General features: G+C 47.7%; 3 annotated features.

The window, feature by feature from the left end:
- Positions 5,953-7,152: an enhancer, noted in NCBI's record as "CDK7 strongly-dependent group 2 enhancer chr8:21417498-21418697 (GRCh37/hg19 assembly coordinates)". NCBI's record gives its function as "activates an origin of replication core promoter dependent on BRD2, BRD4, P300/CBP, MED14 and CDK7 cofactors, with strong dependence on CDK7, by STARR-seq in HCT116 cells {active_cell/tissue: HCT116}" and the evidence as "EXISTENCE:reporter gene assay evidence [ECO:0000049][PMID:35650434]".
- Positions 16,952-17,451: an enhancer, noted in NCBI's record as "H3K4me1 hESC enhancer chr8:21407199-21407698 (GRCh37/hg19 assembly coordinates)". NCBI's record gives its function as "activates a minimal SCP1, AML or CMV promoter by ChIP-STARR-seq in primed H9 embryonic stem cells {active_cell/tissue: H9 hESC(primed)}" and the evidence as "EXISTENCE:reporter gene assay evidence [ECO:0000049][PMID:30033119]".
- Positions 17,452-17,953: an enhancer, noted in NCBI's record as "H3K4me1 hESC enhancer chr8:21406697-21407198 (GRCh37/hg19 assembly coordinates)". NCBI's record gives its function as "activates a minimal SCP1, AML or CMV promoter by ChIP-STARR-seq in primed H9 embryonic stem cells {active_cell/tissue: H9 hESC(primed)}" and the evidence as "EXISTENCE:reporter gene assay evidence [ECO:0000049][PMID:30033119]".

The raw sequence follows: 19,706 nt of genomic DNA, 5'->3' as shown, positions 1-19,706 counted from the left end.
GTGCTCCCCTACAGAAATACTCGCCATCCGTTATGCATGCCTACTTTTTTACCTTGGCTCCATCTCTCCTTCTCCCCCTATCTTCTTCAAGCTCAAGTTCCCTTGTTCCCCTTCCTCCGGGAGCCCTCTGTCAACTCCTGTCTTACTTGTTTATCTTATATCCTTGGCACCAGACATACATTGCTCTTCATATATGTGGTTCCATGCTAAGTGTCTTCAGCTGAACCAGAGATTTCTGACATTGGGTTCATCAGTGCAATACGTGAGGCCCTTGAAATTGCTGCCAAATTCTTTGTGCGTGTATGTATTTTTTTTTAAAGGGGTGGACTTAGACTTCGCAAGTTCCTTCCAATGTGGAACGTGCATAAGACTGGTATACCCATTGTCTTTAAAAAAACATTCATGAAAGCAGCAATGGATGTAATACCTCAGAAGCAAGAAAAGATAGAGGTGGAGGCAAAGTCTGCCCACATAGGATGCCCTTTGTACTCTTCCTGCTTTAATAGGAACCAGTGCCCAGCTTCCAGGGAGGGGGAGTCAAAAACTTCTGCAATGAAGTGACTCATCCCTGGCACAGAATTGCATCTGGCTGCATTCCCTTCACTTCATATGGGGCAGGTGGTTTGTAGAGTTGACTGAAATGGGCCAGGGCCCTGCCAGGTTACTTCACTCCTTTGCCTACCCGCAAACAAGGCTAGCTTTTGCCATATGCTGGGGTGGGCAGATAGTTCCCCTGTTCTTGTCTTTCCATCAAGATAATGCCACACGAGCCAGCAGCCCTCCTCTTCATCGTCTCATGTCCATACTCATAAAATACTTTAGAGCCTCTTAGATTCTGTGGTCCAGGCCCAGTGGCCTCTGATGCTTGCTATTCCCCAGGGAGGCCTGCTGGAGCCCTGTGGGATCCCCTTCCTTCTGTGACTCTTTCTGTTTGCTCAGCACCCAACCCTGGCAGAAAGCAGCATGCCTTGCTCGCTGCTTTCTCTACAGCTCTATGAATGTTTAATAAATTCTTAATTAAAAGCTGGGCACCTCATCTATTCCTGTCAATTGCTTCTCCGTTGTGAAGAAGAGAGGCCTACAGGAGGGAAAAGTCAAGCCCGCACTCCACCCTCTGTTCACACCCACAACGACCCACGTGCACGTGCACACACACACACACACAGCCATGGGACTCGGTGCTGTATTTACATAATTCTATTGACATTTTGAGGCTAAAATTAGGTATGCTACTTTAATTCTCTGTTAAATTAAATTATGAATGTTTGGAACGTAGTAATTTCTTTTGTTCTATGAACAGATTGTTTTATATATCTGCCTATATTACCAAGTTATTAATTTAATGATTTCATAATAGCAGCTCATTCCTCTGGGTAATATAAAGACTGAAGTGCATGCTCTGTACAGCACAGGCAGACACTGCTTGCCCTATGTGAATTGAAGGTTTTAGGAATAAAGTTATTAGTTTTGGCAGAATGTTTAAGTGTGCACAGGGAAAGTGGAGGGATGTGTCAGGTCAGCTCGAGCTTCCCAATCTCATTGAAAAAAGTCAGGGCATAGTCCATTGCCTGTGAGACTGGATGAAAAATAATTTTCTTAAATAAAGTCAAGCACCTAGCTGAACACTGGCTAGTTTGACAGCTGCTGCCTGCCCCTCTACCGTGGCAGCTCTGGACACAGTGTAGGGTCAGCCCCAGCTACAAACAGGAGATTCTTTGTCTTTCATCCTGTGGACCTGCTGGATAATCTCCAGCATGATGGAGATGTGCTGCCAGGCAACAAGGCCGTGACTGCATCGTCTTGCTCCTTGCTGGCTTCCCACCCTATTGTGGGGAGATGGAAAAGAGCCAGATTCTGTGTGGTGAGTGGGGATGAGCATGAAGTCTGGATTCAGAGGGACCTTCCTCTTTCCCTGGGAGTTGTGACTTTTGTGACTTGGGCTTTTTTAAGCCTCAATTCCCCGATCAGTACAATGGGGGCATTGATAACACCTTTCCAATCAATGTTGTAGGATTGTTGTGTGGCTCAAACGAGGAAATGGGTGGGAACGTGCTTTGCAATCACTAACAGACAGGTTTCTTTGGAGGCTGGGTTGTGTAGGGTATGGGCAGGTACCACTAATCACTACAGATGACATCAGAGCAATGTTCATGACCACTTTCCTCACAGCTCCAGGTGACTCACTTCTCCATTTGTTACTCCATTTCTTACTCCATTTGTTCAGCTGACACCTGAGATTTGAGTTTGAGGACTTCTAAAGTTCTCCCACCTTTGGTAGTTTGGGATTCTATCTATTTTTCAGGAGAAATCACCAAAATGCTTCATTTTAGTTGAGAAGACAATGCTGAATGTGGAGCCTTATAAGGAATCACAGCGTATTCAGTTGTTCAGTAAATACCAAGCACTGCTAACTCAACAAGTACTGATTTAGAACAGCAGATGCAACAGTCTCCAAGACAGGAGTGGTTTCTGCCTTCTCCAAGCCTATGATCTAATGAGAATCAGATGACTAAACAGGCAATCATGATATCCTGTGATGATAAAAGGCATGTACCCACCCTAGACTGGGGCCAGGAAAGAGGAAGGTAAGCCCAGGCTGATACCTTGATATTGACTACGGATCAGCCATGCAAAGAGGAGGTGAAAGAATGGGAAGGGCCAAGGTGTTTCAGGAATTAAGAGCATGTGGAAAGTGTGGGGAGATGGGGGTAGGAGAGAGCAACACAGCATGGATTGGACATTCCATCTAGGTTTGGGGAGGGAGTGGTGAGATATGAGGCTGGAGCCATCAGCAGGGGGCCATATATGGCAGACTTGGGGAGTTTTGCTAAGCAAAAGGCACTTGGGGAGCCACTGAAGAAGATAAGGGATTATTTGTGTTTTAGAAAGGATGCTATGGCTGCCATGGGAAGAACCATCTGGAAGGGTCAAGTTGAAGGCAGAGAGACCAATTAGGAGACTGCTGCAGTCAACAAGATGGGAGACAGCAGGGTCTGTGTTAGGTAGAGACAGTAATGTAGACAGAAGACATAGGAGGTGCTCAGAAGGTGGAACTGATGAGGTCTCCATTAGGCTCTTGGTTAGATGGGGGCAAAACAGAGAGGGAGGTGCTGAAGGTTGGACCAGCAGAGGTCTCTGAGGTTGCTCTTTACCCTTTGAGTTCTTCCCTCTTTGGCTTTTCTATTGTTTAAGAGGAAACTCTCACACAAACCCCTTCTTCCATGGCTGACACACACTTGTGTAATCACCCGATGGGTTTTTCCTGCCTCCTGCACAGACAACACCAATCCACTGGAATTGTGCTATTGTGGTAGAGAAAGAGTATTACTAACGTGAGGCTGGCCATAGAGGAGATGGACACTCAAATCAGTCTCCTCAAAAGTTAGAGTTTTTCAAGTATAGTTTGGTGAAAGGGAGGCTAGGGAGTGGAGAATGTTGATGGGTTGGAGACGAAATCATAAGGGTATAGAAAGTGGGTCTTGTGCACAGACTCAGCCTCTGGGTGGGATCACACAGCTGGACCCATTGAGTCATGAGTCACAGATCTGAGTGGAGTCAGCAGGTTGTCAGAAATGCAAAAGTCTGAACAAATATCTCAAAAGGCTAGTCTTAGGTTCTACAATAGTGATGTTATCTACAGGAATAATTGGGGAAGTATGGTCCTTTGGAACAATGGCTGATTATTGATTAACTATGCCTACATCTTAGTAGAATTCAGACCCCTCTCATAATCCTAACTTGTGGCCTTTCATTCGTTTTACAAAGGTGGTTTAGTTTTGGAAAGGATTATTACTATCCTTGCTTTAAGGTTAAAGTATAAACTAAATTCCTCCCCAAGTTATCTTGGCCTATGCCCAGGAATGACCAAGGACAGCTTGGAGGTTAGAAGCAAGATGGAGTCAACTATGTCAGACACCTGCACACACATGTGTCTCAGCTGCTCAGTGAGGCCAGCAGGGTAGCTAAAAAATATTTCTCTGCAGAGATGACAGATTGCTAAGTTAAAACCAGTGTCATTGATTATAGTTTCTCCATTTGTTTTTTTGTCTCTGCATGTCAACTCTATGAAACATTCCAACATCCTCAATTGAAAAAAAAAAAGAATTCCTTTCTTTTGCTTTCACACAATATAGTATGTCTTAATCATCTCTGGATTCCTGGTGCCTAGCACTGTGTCAGGCACAGCTATAGCCAGGACTGTCGAGTGATGGATGAGCAAATAGACCCCAAGGGCACTGGGTCTCATTCCTCATGAAGGGAATTCTGGGGTGTGCTCACCAACCTCCCCCAGAAGAAACCTGGATCTGTCTAGGTATGAGGCAGGAAAGCACTAGAAGTTGATGGAAAACCTCCTTCCCAATTAGGGAATTGCCAAAGCCAGATACCTGTGGGACCAAAGACAAGAGGTCCAAAGTAGTTGCTTTGCAAATGTACGTTAATGTTGGCCAACCCATTAGCAGAAGGTGGGCAAGAAGGGGACGGAGGGGAAAGTAGAAGTAGGGTTGGTTAGGGCTCAACCTACCTACAGAAGATAGCAGCTATGAAAGAAGGAATGCCTGCTTAGGCACAGGATAGAGAACTGGTGAGACATACAAAGGGACAAAAAAGGTGACAAAGATGATGTGGAAAACTGAGCATGAGCCAGGAGCCAGAATTTGGACAGAAGATCAACTGTGGAAGGTGACTTTCACCAAACACGTGGGGGAAGAATCAGTGTAGGATATGTCAAATAGGATCCAGGGGGTTGGGGGTGTGTGGAAAATGACTATTTCGAGACATCAGGGGAGACGGACAGCAGGGCAGAGTTTAGACTGCAGTATTCATATGGAGAGAGGAGATCATGTTTGCTTTGTTAATGGCTGTGCACCAATGACTGAGGCTGACACTTCATAGATAGACAATAAAAAATGAATGAATCCTGGGTGTTGTCCTTCAAGAATCATGTAGAGGAGGCTGGGTGTGGTGGCTCACGCCTGTAATCTCAGCACTTTGGGCAAGCTGAGGCGGGTGGATCACAAGGTCAGGAGATTGAGACCATCCTGGCTAACATGGTGAAACCCCGTGCTCTACTGAAAAAAAAAAAAAAAAATTAGCTGGTCATGGTGGCGGGCACCTGTAGTCCCAGCTACTCGGGAGGCTGAGGCAGGAGAATGGCATGAACCTGGGAGGCGGAGCTTGCAGTGAGCCAAGATCACGCCACTGCGCTCCAGCCTGGGCAACAGAGTGAGACTCTGTCTAAAAAAAGAAAAAATCATGTAGAGGAAGGTTAAGGAAAGAGGGATGCCAGGGGGTAGGAGAAATGTGCTGTCTTCAGGACCTGTATCTTAGAACTGGCAGAGTGGAGGCAGATCAGTGGGACTGGATTATGTTCAACACATTCCCAAGTGGTACCCCAAGAATTCTTCCTCAGTAGTAAATTATTGCTAATACACTACTATGGTCTGACTGCTTGTTGTTCCCAAAAATTCATATGTCAAAACCTAATCCCCAGTGCAATAGTATCAAGAAGTGGAGTCTTTGGGATGTGATTAGGTCATGAGGGCTTTGTCGTCATGAATGGGATTAGTGTCCTTGTAAAAGAGGCCCCAGGGAGCTATTTGCCTCTTCAGCCATGTGAGGACACATAGATGGCATCATCTATAGAGGCCTTCCTCTATCGGCAGTTTAATCTTGGATTTCCCAGCCTCCAGAACTATGAGCAATACATTTCTGTTGTTTATAAATTATGCAGTGGAAAGTATTTTGTCATAGCAGCCCAGATGGACTAAGATATACACTAAACATCATGGACTGAGTGGATGATGGCTCAGAGGCCCCTAAGGCAAGGGCACTGGCAGGAGCCAGAGTCAAGGCAGTAAGCCCAGGGTCTCCTAAAGAATGCTTCAGGAGATAGAAGTGGTGTGATCTTCAGGGAAGGGCAGAGAGCCTTATTTTGATTGCTAACTATCGATGTCTTTTTTTGGCACCTCATGGAAAGACCACGTTTGCAGGTGAGGGTGGTGGTGGTGGTGGTGGGGTTATGGCTGAAATCCAGGAGAGGAAGTGCTTGGCTTCCCACTGTATGTCTCCAAACGACAAAAAAAACTGGAGACTTGTGAGAGTCCATTTGGAGCAATTCAAAGTCTGGAGCCCTGGGCTATTTAATGTTTCCAGCAATGGACTAGATGATGAAACAGAGAGCACACTCATTAATTTCATAGATGACACCCAGCTGAGGCTGGAGGGGCACCTTGGAGGATCAGATTAGAATTCAAATTGACTCGAGTAGGTTTTAGAGATTGGTCAGAAACCAACCAAATGAGATTTGGGAAGGACAAGGGCAGAGTAAGGGAAAAGCAGCCACCCAAATGACGGGGAGGAATGACTTACTTACCAAATGACATCATTACCAAATGATGGGGAGGAATGACTTACTGAGTCCCAGTCCTGCTGGAAACCTGAAGACTGTCTTGACCTCCTTGCCTGATTCATCACTGCTGACATTTGCACACAGCTTACAATGAACTTTCACAGCTCCCTCCTTTGAGCTTAGGGTGACAACCCCTTAAGAGAGGAATTGTTATGAGTAAGATCATGGGGGTTCAAAGATGTTAAAAATCTGCCCAAGGCTACATAGCTGATAGGTGTCACAGCCAGATGCAAACTTAGTTAGCACTTTACAGCGCTCATTGACACTTACCTCAGTGCTTTACTGTGTCCTCTGTTCTCCCACCTCATTTAGAGGTACATTTCCCTTGATGCTTCTCTTGCCCACAGGCCAGCCCCATCTCCTTTCCTATTCTTTTCTGGGTAGCCAATATCCTAGGGTGCGTCCTCCAACCCAGTTCTTACAAGCTGCTTTATCAATCTGGATTTGTTCTATTTGGACTAGACCCACGCAGGTAAGTTGTGCACCTTGGGTCCATCCAGCTATCTGTCAATTCCTCTACTCACTGGGTTTGTTGAGAACCACTGGAGGAGATCATATACTTGGCTGGAAGGAGCCACTGCAGATCCATTGGGCAGGCTCTTGGTGCTGCTTGGCAAGAATCCATTATGTGTCTCTGGTCAGCTTATTCCCCTCAAGGTCCTAACAACATTACTGCCTCATTTATCATCATTATGTCATCATCATCATCATCATCATCATCGTCATCATCTTCATCATCATCGTCCTATTGAGGAACAGATGGGGGTCATCTGGAAAGTGCTGTCCCAGCTTCCTATCCTCATTCTCTCTCAATTCATCCAAATGTACATCAACTCTCACTCCTCTCCTCCTGGCTCAGGGCAAGGAATGATTTTTCTGTTCACTCTTCTCTCCTGTACTTACAGTCTATCCCGTTCTTCCTTCAGGGACTCCACAAGATCTTCCCACTCTATTGTCCCTTCCTCATAGTCCTTGAACATGCTTCAGTTCAGCCCATCTTCAAAAGCTCTTCCTGGAGGACAGTTACTAGGGAGGTGATGGAGTATGGTACCGCTGTACTGGCGATGTTCTGGTTCTTAGGTTAAGTGGAGCTCTTAGGTTAAGTGAAGCATTCATGGATACTTTACATATATTCTATCACATGTATCCATCACTAAGTAATTAAAAAATCAACTTACATAAAAATATCTCTTCTTCAACCATGCTAGCAACATTTTGTTCTTCCTTTTGAAGACAGTTCCTTGAAGATCATCATCTTCAACTTTGTTTTTTGTTCTCTCCTTAATCTACTATTTTAATGACAAAAGCCCCCAGTGACCCCTAATATGTCAATTTGCAGCCCACACCTTACCTTACTTTTCTGAGGCATTAATCGATCTACCACTCCTCTTCTCTTAAAACCCTGTAGACCTGAGCCTTTTCTCTGCTTTGGTTCTCCCTACTTCCTAATGTGTCCTTTTACAGCCCACAACTCACCTGACTTTCCTGAGGCATTAACCAGTCAGCCACTCCTCTTCTCTTAGAACCCTGTAGACCTGAGCCATTTCTCTGCCTTGCTTCTCCCCTGAGCTCCCTGACCAGCATCTCCCAGTGTCTTTGCTGCTTCCTCTTCTTCTGCCCAGAACTTACACATCTGTCATATCTCAGCTTCCTTTCCTAGGGTCCTCTTTCCCTTTCTTCTCATTCTTCCTGCACCAGACCAAGGTTGTCCGTGACTTCACGTCTACCCATTCATACACATCTGTCCTGGCCAGAGCTCTCTCCTGTACCACACACCTTATATTGAACTTCCCACTAGATAGCTTCACCTGAATGCTTCTCCTCCCACGCAACCTGGACTCATTTTATTGCCCTCCTTCAACTTGCCCCTCCTTCTGTGGGCCAGCCCCTAGGAATTATGTTAGACTCCCACACATTACTCTCTTTCCCTATATCTGATTGTGGAGTAACTGTCTTTGTTCATGGTCATAAGCTCTTCATTAATTTCCCTGTTTCTAACCTTGCCTCCTGTTAATCCAGAGCTGATCTTGCCAAGATGCAAAATTGTAGGCCCTCAAGGCCACCATGATGTCCCCACTCTTTGCCTTTGCACATGCCATACCTCTGCCTCAAGACCCTTCCCCATGTTTCCCACCTGGCAGCTGTTCCTGCCAATGCTTTTGCTTCCCATTCTGAGATGCAACACAACGTGGCAACTGAGAGTGCTGGTTCTGGAGTCACCCTGACTAGGTTTAAATCCTGGTCTACTCCTTCTAGCAATATCACTTGGGTCAAACACCCTAAGGCTTCCTGTCCTCACCTGTGAAGTAGAAATGAGGAAAGCACCCACCTCACAGCATGGATGTGAAGATTCACTAAGATAAGGGTCCTCAACCTCAGGGCTATGGATGGGTACTGGTCCATGGTCTGTTAGGAACGGGGCTGCACAGCAAGAGGTGAGCAAGGGCAAGCAAGTGAAGCTTCATCTGTATTTAAACACACTCCCAGCACTTGCATTACTCCCTGAGCTCCGCCTCCTGTCAGATCATCAGCGGCATTAGATTCTCATAGGAGCATGAACCCTATTGTGAACTGCACATGTGAGAGATCTAGACTGCACGTTTCTTATGAGAATCCAACTAATGCCTGATGATCTGAAGTGGAACAGTTTCATTGTAAAACCATCTGGCCCCTAACCCTGGTCCATGGAAAAATGGTCTTCCATCAAACCTGGTGCCAAAAACACTGGGGGCTGCTGCACTAAGGCTCTCTGTAAAGCGTCTGCCACCATGTTTGGTGCATTAGAAGTCCTTCCTGCACAGTGGCCCTCCCCACACTGGACTAAGGTCCAATGTCACGTGCTCCATGAAGGTGTTCCAGACCTTCCAGACAGACTTAATTTTACCACTTTTGCTGCTTAGAGTGTAATTTTGTGTGTTTGTCTGCATCTACAAGAACAATGGACACTATTTGTGATGTAGCTCTTAGAATCTGACACAGTTTTCAATGTTAGGCACCCCCTGCTCCCAGCCATGCCTCAGAGATGAGTGGCTTGGGCCATTCATATTTGCTTGGTTACATAAAGGCTTTTGTGGTGTTGGACGAGCTTCCTCATCCAATTTACTCATCTATAAACAGAGGCCATTGTGGAAGGGAGGCTGCATTCTGAAAGGGTACTCTTATATTGGGCATAAAGTTCATAGGGAAACCAAAATTCCTAAAATAATCAGGATGGAATATCTAGAAATTAGGGCTGGTCAGCAGGGTACACATTGTCCTGTGTGTGGACAGACATTGTTGAGAGTTGTGGCTGTGGAATAGGACAGGGACCTGTATTACACATTGTGTGTGTGTGTGTGTGTGTGTGTGTGTGTGTGTGTGTGGTGTGTTGTATGTGTCTGCAAAAACACATGCCTGTGCCCCATGGTTGTGCAGTGTGCCCTGGGGCAGCTAGCTGACAGTCAGTTGCTTCATTGTTCTCTGGCTGAAACAGTTGTTAGAGCTGTTAGAGGGTTCACAGGAGCATGAACCCTATTGTGAACTACCAGCAGCTGGCCTGGCCAGCCTCCCCACAATGATCTTAGGGGGCAAGAGTCACGCTGCTGCATGAAGGCCATGGGAGATGGAGGCTTAGCTAGATAGAGCAACCGGCCCTCATGGAACCCCCCAGGCACACACTTGCTGCTGGCCACCTGATGAGCTGCGAGGGCATTCTTGCACCTTGCCTGGGTGGGACTGGGAAGCAGCTGCCGCTAGCTCTGGGTGGATGCCGATACAGGCTCTGTGGCTAGCAGCATCTCCCCAGGAGATGGGTAGGACTGCCTGGCTGATGCTCTCTGCCCAAGTTCCCTGGGGTGGGTTGGGAGAAGGGGACAGAGGGCATTGGCTCTTGCCCACAGCCAGGATCCACTCTGCCTGGCTTTGGGGTCTTCTGGCCTGTCAATTTCTAGCCCACCCGATTTTGGGCTCTTTCGCGTCTTCTCTGCATATCCTTTAAGGGTTCAGAGCATGACCTCACCTGGGGCCACAGAAGCAGATGGGGAAGTGGTTCTGTTGCCTGCTTTTTTGCCCTGGCCTTTCCTCTAGGCCTGGCTTTTGGGTGGCCCACTCTAAAGGGCCTCATAAAGCAGCTCCCTGAAGTCCCTAGGGTTCCTGCTGGCTTTTCCTTTATTGGCCTTGTAGGAATTTTGTAACCTGCCTGTGGATGGCTCCTTTGGGACCATGGACCTGCCTGTAGCACTTTCCCACATCCCTATTCCCCAGCTGCATGTTAGAAGCATCAACCCCCACTCCCACTGAAGGCCTGGGCCATGTACTTATCACCTCTTTGGGGCAGAGGCAATTCGGACACTCTGTTTGGTCCTTGCCATAAACTTGCTTGACACTGTCTGCCATTTCTCCAGCATATAACTACCTCCCTTACCCACATTTTTAAAGGCACAGCCTACCTCCTGGTGGATAAATGGCCCTGTAGGCTTGTGTAGTATAGTCAGGACAGGGTCTGTGGAGAGGGTGGGACTGGACATGGGCCCTGAAGTCCAGGCAGGATAAGGCTGAGTGGCAGGAGGGTGTGTGGGGCTTCCAGGTTAAGGAACATGTCTTTGGAACTGGTCCTTCCACTGCATTCTCACAGCTGCCAATTAATAGTGCCTGTCAGGTGAAGATGGCACTCAGAGAGAGGAGTGTGCCCCAAGGTCCCCGCAGAGGCCCACTGCTGCATCTGAAGCTGTGCTATGCTCAGGCCAGCCAACTTGTCATCTTCCATGTGGCCTTGTGGGATGAAGACGTTGAAGTTCTACCTCCTCCTAATGACCTTCAGCAGAGAACCTGAGTTGGCTTCTGAGCAGACACGTCCCCTGCCTCGGCCAGGCTGCTACCTAGGCAATTAACTGCTGCTGTAATTCCGGGTCTCTGCACCCACAGGCCCCCCTTTCCAAACAACCATGTCGAACAAGAGTCCTTAGAGGAGAAGGGAAAGTGGCTATCTGGTCTGGTGGCCCGACAGGTGGCCAGCTGAGAGACGACAGGAGTGTGAATGGAGGGGCTGTGTGGTTTTAATCACTTCAGATACTGTTCTGGGAGCAGATGTGAGATCAGTCCCAGAGAGCACTCTGGGGGTTGCAGCACCCTGAGGATAAGTGAGGGTGACAATCCGGAAGACAGGATATTCTCCCAGATCACTATCCCCCCGGGGCTGGCCCCAAGCCCTGCCAATTACCTATCTTGCTGGCTGGGCTCCTCTGTGTGGGAGGGGGCCTGAACTAACCCTGTGGCCGGGCACCCCACCAGAGAGTAGGAGGCTTGGTGGCCCTGAGAGCGTGCTCCTATGCTGGGGGTTAGGGGTGGTGTGCTGGGAGGCTGGGGGAATGACCTTTGGGGACCTCAGATTCCCGGACTCCTCCAGCCCTCCCATGGGTTATTTTCTCTCGCAGCAGAACAGCAGCAACCTGGGTTAATCAGGAGCTTGGGCTGACCCTGGGAGGATGGTCTCAGAGGAGAGAACTTATTTTGAGCTGGTGAAATGATTAGTGGTGCTAATCACAGGCTCAGCCCAGACCCTTCTGGCCTACTTACAGGCTGTTCCAACTTTCCCTGGCCTGTACGCGCTCTCCCTCCCCATCCCTCCTTCTCCTCTGTAAGCTGGCAGCTGCCCTCACCTGCCTTTCTCTCTTCTTACTCTCTCCTCCTATTTTTATGGGAAAAGAGACCCTGGGGACCCCAAGAGCTCTAGTCTGTACCCCTAGGAACCCCAAAGATTTCAAATGACCACAAGAGATTCCAAAGCTGAATATGATCCTGACCACAAGAAGACCCAGGGTACATTCTATATAAGGTAAGAGAGAAGGCCTGGGGGCACTCCCGAGGTGATGGATCCAAGGGTTTTCCTTTGGACCGTGGTGAGTGGTTGGGGGTAAATGAGGGAGTGAGGGGTGGAATGAGCCGAGGGGGAAGGTCCTACCCAGGTGATCCTGCCCTTGGCCTACAGCCAGAATTTCTTGGGAGTGGCAGCAGTTTTTGAGTGACCCAAGGTAGAGCTGTGCTCTTGGGCATTTAGAAGAGGCAGTGAGGAGTCCAGGGGCCTGGGACCTCTGGGAAGCTGGCCCTGTGGCTGGCTCTTCTGAGCATTCGTCTGGCCTGGTGAATGAAGGCTGATCAGCATATTCATGCACTCACTCAACAAGCAGGTGTTGACGCCTGTTCTGTACCAGGCCCTGTGCTAGGTTTTGGGAAAAGTGAAGGGTAAAAATGCTATGAAGGGAAAAAAGAGAGTGCTGAGTTTGAAATTACTGAGAGGGGGGTCCTATTCTAGATAGCAGAGAACAGGCCCCTCAGAGGAAGTGACATTTAAAGACTTGAAGAATGAGTAGGGATGAGTGGAACTAGGAGTGCGAGAAACAGGATAGGTAGAGGCATGCATGGAGCCCCCGAGGCAGGCAGGAACTGGGCTCTGGGATGCCACAGCATAGAGAGGCACGGTTGGCGGGGTGCCACAGCCCGGGCTGTACAGGCCATGCTAAGGAGTTTGGATTTTGTCCTTAAGACAGGTCATGCCCATTCCAAGCCTGCTGTTTTCTGACTCACTCTATGCCCTGGCCCCACGCTGCTCTGCTTGGCAGGGCCTAACTCTCATAGGCTGTGTCTTCCAGCCCCTGGGTCAGCAGGTTTCCAGCTGGTCTCAGCCTATGGGAGACTGGCAGGAGCTGGGAGCTGGGAGGAAGAAGCCAGGGCATTTCTCCTTCTCTGCCTTGGACAGCATTTCCAGAACTGGCTGCAATTCTAGGTTTCTGGCACCCAGTAAGCAGGTCTGCCAGGTGACCAGGCTCCTGGGTCCCTCAATCCAGAGGCCTCCTTTGTCCCAGCAGCATAGGGATGTAAGTGGTAGTTTGCCATTGCTAATCTCTGGGTTGCCTCATTGCTCCTGTTTGGCTTTTTGGCCTCCTTAAAATCAACTCAGTTTTAAATGCTCACTTACTGAACACTTGTACGTTCTCTAAGAAGGACTTTGCATATATTGATTCATTCAAAGCTCTATGATATGGATTATACCTATTTTATAACTAGAAAAACAGAGTCCAAAGAGGTGAAAGTGCATAGGTAGTGAATAGCAGAGCAGAGCATTGAACCAGGTAGTCCAGCCCCAGAACTTGAGTTTTTAACCTCTGGGCCAGGGCCTGCGTAAAGGGCTGAGTGCAGAACTCAGTGAAGTGTGTGGTTCTGGAGGAAGACTTGAGTATGCATTGTGGCTTCCCCATGATGGGTTCTGTGATCTTGAGTAAGGCCCTTAACCAGTGGGCACTTAATCAGTTTGCTTATCTATTAACTGGGGATAATATTAATACTAGAATTTAGTTCCTAGGGGTTTTGTAGGATCAAATGAGATAATGCACGTGAAATACTTAGCACAGTGCCTGGCACATAGTGAGCACTTGATCAGCATGTGGTTTTATTCTTGTTCTTCCTTTTACATGACTGTTCTGACCCAGGAGTCCAACACACAGGACTGGACAACTAGATCTTGGGTCAGGTAGGGCCATGGCTGCTCTTGTGCTTCCGGGTTCCACTGAGACCTGGGGTGAGTACACTGAGCTCCGTGGTGCTGAATCTGAAGCCTCATCTGTAATGGTGTCCTTGGCTTCTAGGTTGTCCTGTCCTTGCCTATAGTTTTTCTGTGTTCTGAGCAGGTGTTTCTCAGAAGTCTCATATGGAGCCTTCTCCCTCCATGGCCTTCTGCCTTGTGGAGACCTCCTTGTGTCCCCAGGAGGACTCTGCTAGACTAAATCAGGCTGAGAACCACCAGACCCAGATCTTCAGAGCAATCTCAGGCCCACAGAACTTGTAATGGTCTCTGTTGTTCTTTCCTGTTTTGAGCCACAATGAAAGATGGAGCATGTGCATACGCACGCACACACACACACAAACACACACATATACACACACTACTAAAATCAATGACCCAGTGGCAAACCTCAGTGAATTGCTGAGCCTTGAACAATTTCAGCCGACTGATGAAGATCCCAAATAATTTTCATTCTAATCTATGTTGCTTGACTTCTAAGGAGGTAATGGCCCCTTTGGTGACATGCTGTCCTTTCTGTACACAATTTATGGCTGTGACTTGCCTTTCTGGACTGCTAAAACATGCGGAGGAAAAACAGCTTTTGAATTACTGTGAGCCATTCTTTGCTGAGGTGCTGGACCCTTGGCTCCCAGCTTGGGCAAACATGGTGATGACCAGGCCAGGGAGAGGGTGGAGAGAGATGGAAGGAGGAAGAACATGGAAGGAGGTCTGAACATGAAACTCAAAAGATTGTAATGATATTAACAATAAGAGTCACGTTTATGCACTTTACAATTGCAAAGAACGTTCAATAGCATTATTTCCACTTAATCTTATTAACCTATCATTTTACAGGAGATGAGGTTTAGTTAGGTGACTTGCCAGGGACACACATTAGGTGGCAGAGGCACAGTCACAAATAACACCAGTTCTGACTGTCATGCAGTTTTTCTGATGAGTATGTGGGGTGAGGAGGCTTACAGGCCTTTACCAGGTAAGTAGCAGTTGGCTCAGGAGTTTGGAGTCTTCCAGGCTGCATAGAACATGCCTGAGGGTCATGTGTGTAGTCCTTCAGAAGAATGATTCTCTGGGCCTAACCTGAGACCCAGTCAGGTCTGGCCTGGCACCTCTAGCTTGTGGTTTTTAGGGGGTGGGACAGGATAAGAGTAAGTTGATTCCTATAAGTCTGTCATTTCAGGAAAACAACCCAGAGTAAATGCTTTGCTGAGCTTCAGAAGTCTTCTAACCTCTCTGTAAATCTCAGCTCCTCCCTCATCTGTAAATGGGATTGTAACAATGAAATCTCTGTGAGAACTAAATGCAATAAAGAGCTCTGTAAATGGTCGAGAACCAAGGACATACGAAGGAATTTTATTGTATCTTCCATCACCACCACCACCATCATCCTCCCCATTTCCTCCATCATCATCAACATCATCATCACCATCATGATCTTGTAAGAAGGACAGCATAAGTCAAAAATTACTAAGAGTATAGACCAACACTTAGAATATCTGGGGGAGCTTATTTAAAATGTCACATCCTGGCCACACCCCCAGAGATGCTGATTCAGAAGGTCTCAGTAGCACCCAGAAATATTCCTTTTTAACAAGAACCCAGGATGATTTTTGTTGCAGGAAGACTGTGGATTGCACATTGGGAAACATTGCCTTATAGTTGTAGGACAAACAAAAGGAGATTCTACCACACACAGGGTTTAGTGATGTTTGTGAAACCCGTAAGCCTACGACAATATGTGTAAGCAGTCCAAGACCTTTCCACATGAGGTCACTGGCTACCCATCAGCATTCAGGGGCAGGAGCAGCCTCCTTGAGTTTTCTGGTCTTGCTTTATCTAGTTTAAGCCACCTGGGGTGAACTGGGTAGAGCATATCTATCTAATACACTCATGTGAACTTGGGCCTTGGGATTGAAACAGCAGCATAAAGACAAATGAAGAAAGTATTTATTTATACTAAGACAGTACAAAGCAATTAATCCTCGCTATTAGCTATAATTAAATTCCTCAGAACGAAGACTTTCAAATTGTGAGCTGGAGCAAATCTCCCCCTGTGGCTTCCTGCGGAGGGCAGGCATCTTCTCTGGATCCCCTCTGCCCTGCCATCCCGGGCTGGTGCTACTCTGTTCCTATTGATTCCAAAGAGTTCCTTAAGCTGGGACTGGTGAATTGACTTTGCAAGTTTCCTTTTTAAAGGGCCAGACTAATTTTCTATGGGAAACGTGGGAGTTATATATGAAGAAACTCATCTAAGCAAAATGTGTAGCAGAAGTCCAGGGTAGCCAGTAGGTGATATTGTGATTTATTTTTGCATGTGGACTATTTGCAGGACAACCCTGCAAATCAAATGTGCATCCACTGACGTGAATGGTGGCTAAAAACTTCCTGTGGGGGAAGACGCTCCAGCCATGTCTAAATTTGGGGTTTAGACATGATCAGATATGTCAGGTAAACTGAAAGCGGGCATTGGGAAGCAGAGGCCAAACTACCAGGTGGGAAGTGAAGCTGCGTAAAAGAGACCCTGGCTGGCAGAATCCCAGGAAGGCACTCAGAGGCAGACTCAAGGCTCAGGGACCTGTGGAGTGATTTGGTGAGTGTAGGAGCTATTATTTGTGAGCCCTCAACCCTATTTCTGTATTAGTCTGTTCTCATGCTGCTAAAAAGACATACCCAAGACGGAGTAATTTATAAAGAAAAAGAGGTTTAATGGACTCACAGTTCCATGTGGCTGAAGAGGCCTCACAATCATGGGGGAAGATGAAAGTCATGACTCACATGGTGGCAGGCAAGAGCGCATGTGCAGGGGAACTCCCCTTTATAAACCCATCAGATCTCATGAGACTTATTTACTATCATAAGAACAGCACAGGAAAGACCCGCCCCCATGATTCAATTACCTCCCACCGGGTCCCTCCCACGACACATGGGAATTATGGGAGCTACAATTCGACATTTGGGTGGAGACGTAGTCAAACCATATTGGGCGGGGGGGTGGTATGTGTATATGTTGGGGAGGGAGCAGCTTTGGGGTGTTTCCTCAAATTCTCTAATTGGGGGACCCCTGCAAAAGAGTGTCACTAAGAAGAAAGGTATTGGGTTGGTGCAAAAGTAATTGCTGTTTTTACCATTAAAAGTAATGGCAAAACTGTAATTACTTTTGCATCAACCTAATATCTTGATAATCTGGGATGGAATAAGAGTAGGTGGCAGCTGCAGCATGGGCACTCCCAAAGGCTCCAAGAGGTACCCAGAGCAGGGAGGTGCATTGCAGCAGAGCAGTTGGAACAGCCTGGACTCTGACCCGAGAGGAGTGTGGAACGAACCCTGGAACTCCAGCAGGTAGTAGAGGGCAGCACAGGCCTGCAAGGGGATTGAGGTGCAGCATTTCAGTGGGGTGGGAGGTGGGTAGACAGTGACCAAGCTTGCCCAATGGGGGAGTGATGGGCTGGGCTGCTTGGGCCGTGCTGATGAAGCTGCTGTGGGTAGGTTGGGCACCATTGCCACGTGATGTGGGTTTTCCTGACAAGTCTCCTGGGGCTTCCCCCCTCACAGCTCCTGTTTGTTTCCCTTCCTTCCTTCCTTCCTTCCTTCCCTTCTTCCTTCCTTCCTTCCTTCCTTCCTTCCTTCCTTCCTTCCTTCCTTCTTTCCTTCCTTCCCTCCTCTCTTTCTTTCTCTCTTTCTTCCTTTCTTTCTTTCTTGATGGAATCTCACTCTGTAGCCCAGGCTGGAGTACAGTGGTGCAATCTCGGCTCATCACAATCTCCGCCTCCTGGGTTCAAGTGATTCTCCTGCCTCAGCCTCCCGAGTAGCTGGGATTACAGGCATGCACCACTATGATCAGCTAATTTTTGTATTTTTAGTAGACACAGGATTTCACCATGTTGGCCAGGCTGGTCTTTAACTCCTGATCTTAAGTGATCTGCCTGCCTTGGCCCCCACAGTGCTGGGATTACAGGCGTGAGGCACCATGCCTGGCCCCTGTTTCCTTTCTTTTTAAATCTTCTGTCCATACTTGGTGGTTCCGCTTGCAGGGCTCTCCAGTACCCAGGCTGGCATGTGCAGGGGATAAAAAAACTCAGGGGACTTGCTGCAGTATCATTTTTTAGGTCTTGAGGTCCTTATGTGACCCTCTCCCCACCTTTAAGCGTTCTTTTGTGATTGTCTGTTGAATTATTTGCGGAGTATTTAGTTTTACTTTGAAGAAGAAAACAGGAAAAGTGGGCTAATGACATCTTGCTGTTGAACTTGCACTCTTTGTCTTACTTTTAAGCTCTGTCCTGGGATGGCCAGATGGGGAATTAGCAGGTGCTGGTCCTTGGTCTAATGCAGGAGAACAGCAGATGCTTGTGGCTGTTGGTGGCAGCACAGGCAGGGGCCCTGCCCTCTGGATAATGCAGCAAATTGCCCCATGTGCTTCTCTATGTGGCACCAGCCCTTGAGGCTATTGCTGGAGATAGCAGTGGGCTACATGCTCCAGGGTCTGATGCAATGTGGTCATGCCCAGGGTCTCGTTGCTGCTGGAGGAAGGTGGCATTGTATGAGGCAGTTCAGTGAACCAACCCATCTGTCACCAGAGATTACCATCTTTAGGAATCGTGCTGTCTAACAGAGCTACAACAAAAGTGCCGACTGTGATTTACGGGCGCAGGGGCAATTGGGGAACTGGACTATACATTACAGCAACTTTTCCATGAGCTAGAAACCATACGCCTTTGACTTCCGTGATTCATTTATCTTACATTGTAAAATCTAGTTTTTGCCATGTGCCTGGTGATATGGTTTGGCTCTGTCCCCACCCAAATCTCATCTTGAATTGTAGCTCTCATAATTCCCATGTGTTGGAGGGACCCCCGTGGAGGTAACTGAATCATGGGGGTGGTTTTCCCCATACTGTTCTTGTGGTTGTGAATAAGTCTCATGAGATCTGATGGTTTTATAATGGGTTTCCCTTACATGACTGTGAGGCCTCCCCCGCCCCGTGGAACTGTGAGTCCATTAAGCCTCATTTTCTTTATAAATTCTCCAGTCTTTATCAGCAGCGTGAAAATGTACTAATGCACCTGGCATGGTGTTTGATGTTGTGGGGAGAGAGAAATGAATGAAACAGAGCCCCTGCCTTTGAGGAGTGCCCTGTCTAGGAGGGAAACATCAGCAAGAGTGATAAGATGGGACCTCTGCTATGCAGGGGCCTGTGCAAGGTGCTCTGGTACCATCAAGGGAGTCTGAGAGAGCCTTCACAGTGGTGGTGACCATGGGGGTCTGACACTGAGGGCTGCCAGCAACCCAGGAAGACAATGAGAAAGGCAGAGTGGGGCACACCGAACCACAGTCTCACTTATCCAAGACACATGGGTGACAGTGTCTAAAATTGGAACTGGGGGCTAAGAGGATTTGCCTTCCAGGTATGTACAGCCTGATTAGAGAGTTGGACCCACACTTAACCATAAAGTTATTTATTTGCTCACTGACACCACAGGGTGAGAGGTGTTCAGGTGAGATGTTGACTCTCCCACGTGGTTGTAGTTGAAACCTTTCTTCTCATAGTAAAATGGAAATTTCTGTCTGGGTTAATGGATCTTGAGGCATCTTTAAGGAGGTATTGGAGTGAGTGGGGGACTTGGAGCAGGAGGAGTTGTGGCTTTTGGCTCTCATTAGCAGGGGACAGCTTGTCAGTTTTGAAGGTGAGGTTGAGGCTGCTCTCCGGTATGATGTAAGTGTGCGTGTGTGTGAACCTGAACGTGA

The sequence above is a fragment of the Homo sapiens genome, chromosome 8 (assembly GCF_000001405.40).
Source record: "Homo sapiens chromosome 8, GRCh38.p14 Primary Assembly".
Classification (NCBI taxonomy): Eukaryota; Metazoa; Chordata; class Mammalia; order Primates; family Hominidae; genus Homo; species Homo sapiens.
The sequence above is the reverse complement of the archived record's forward strand: the minus strand, read 5'-3'. Positions and strand labels throughout refer to the sequence as shown.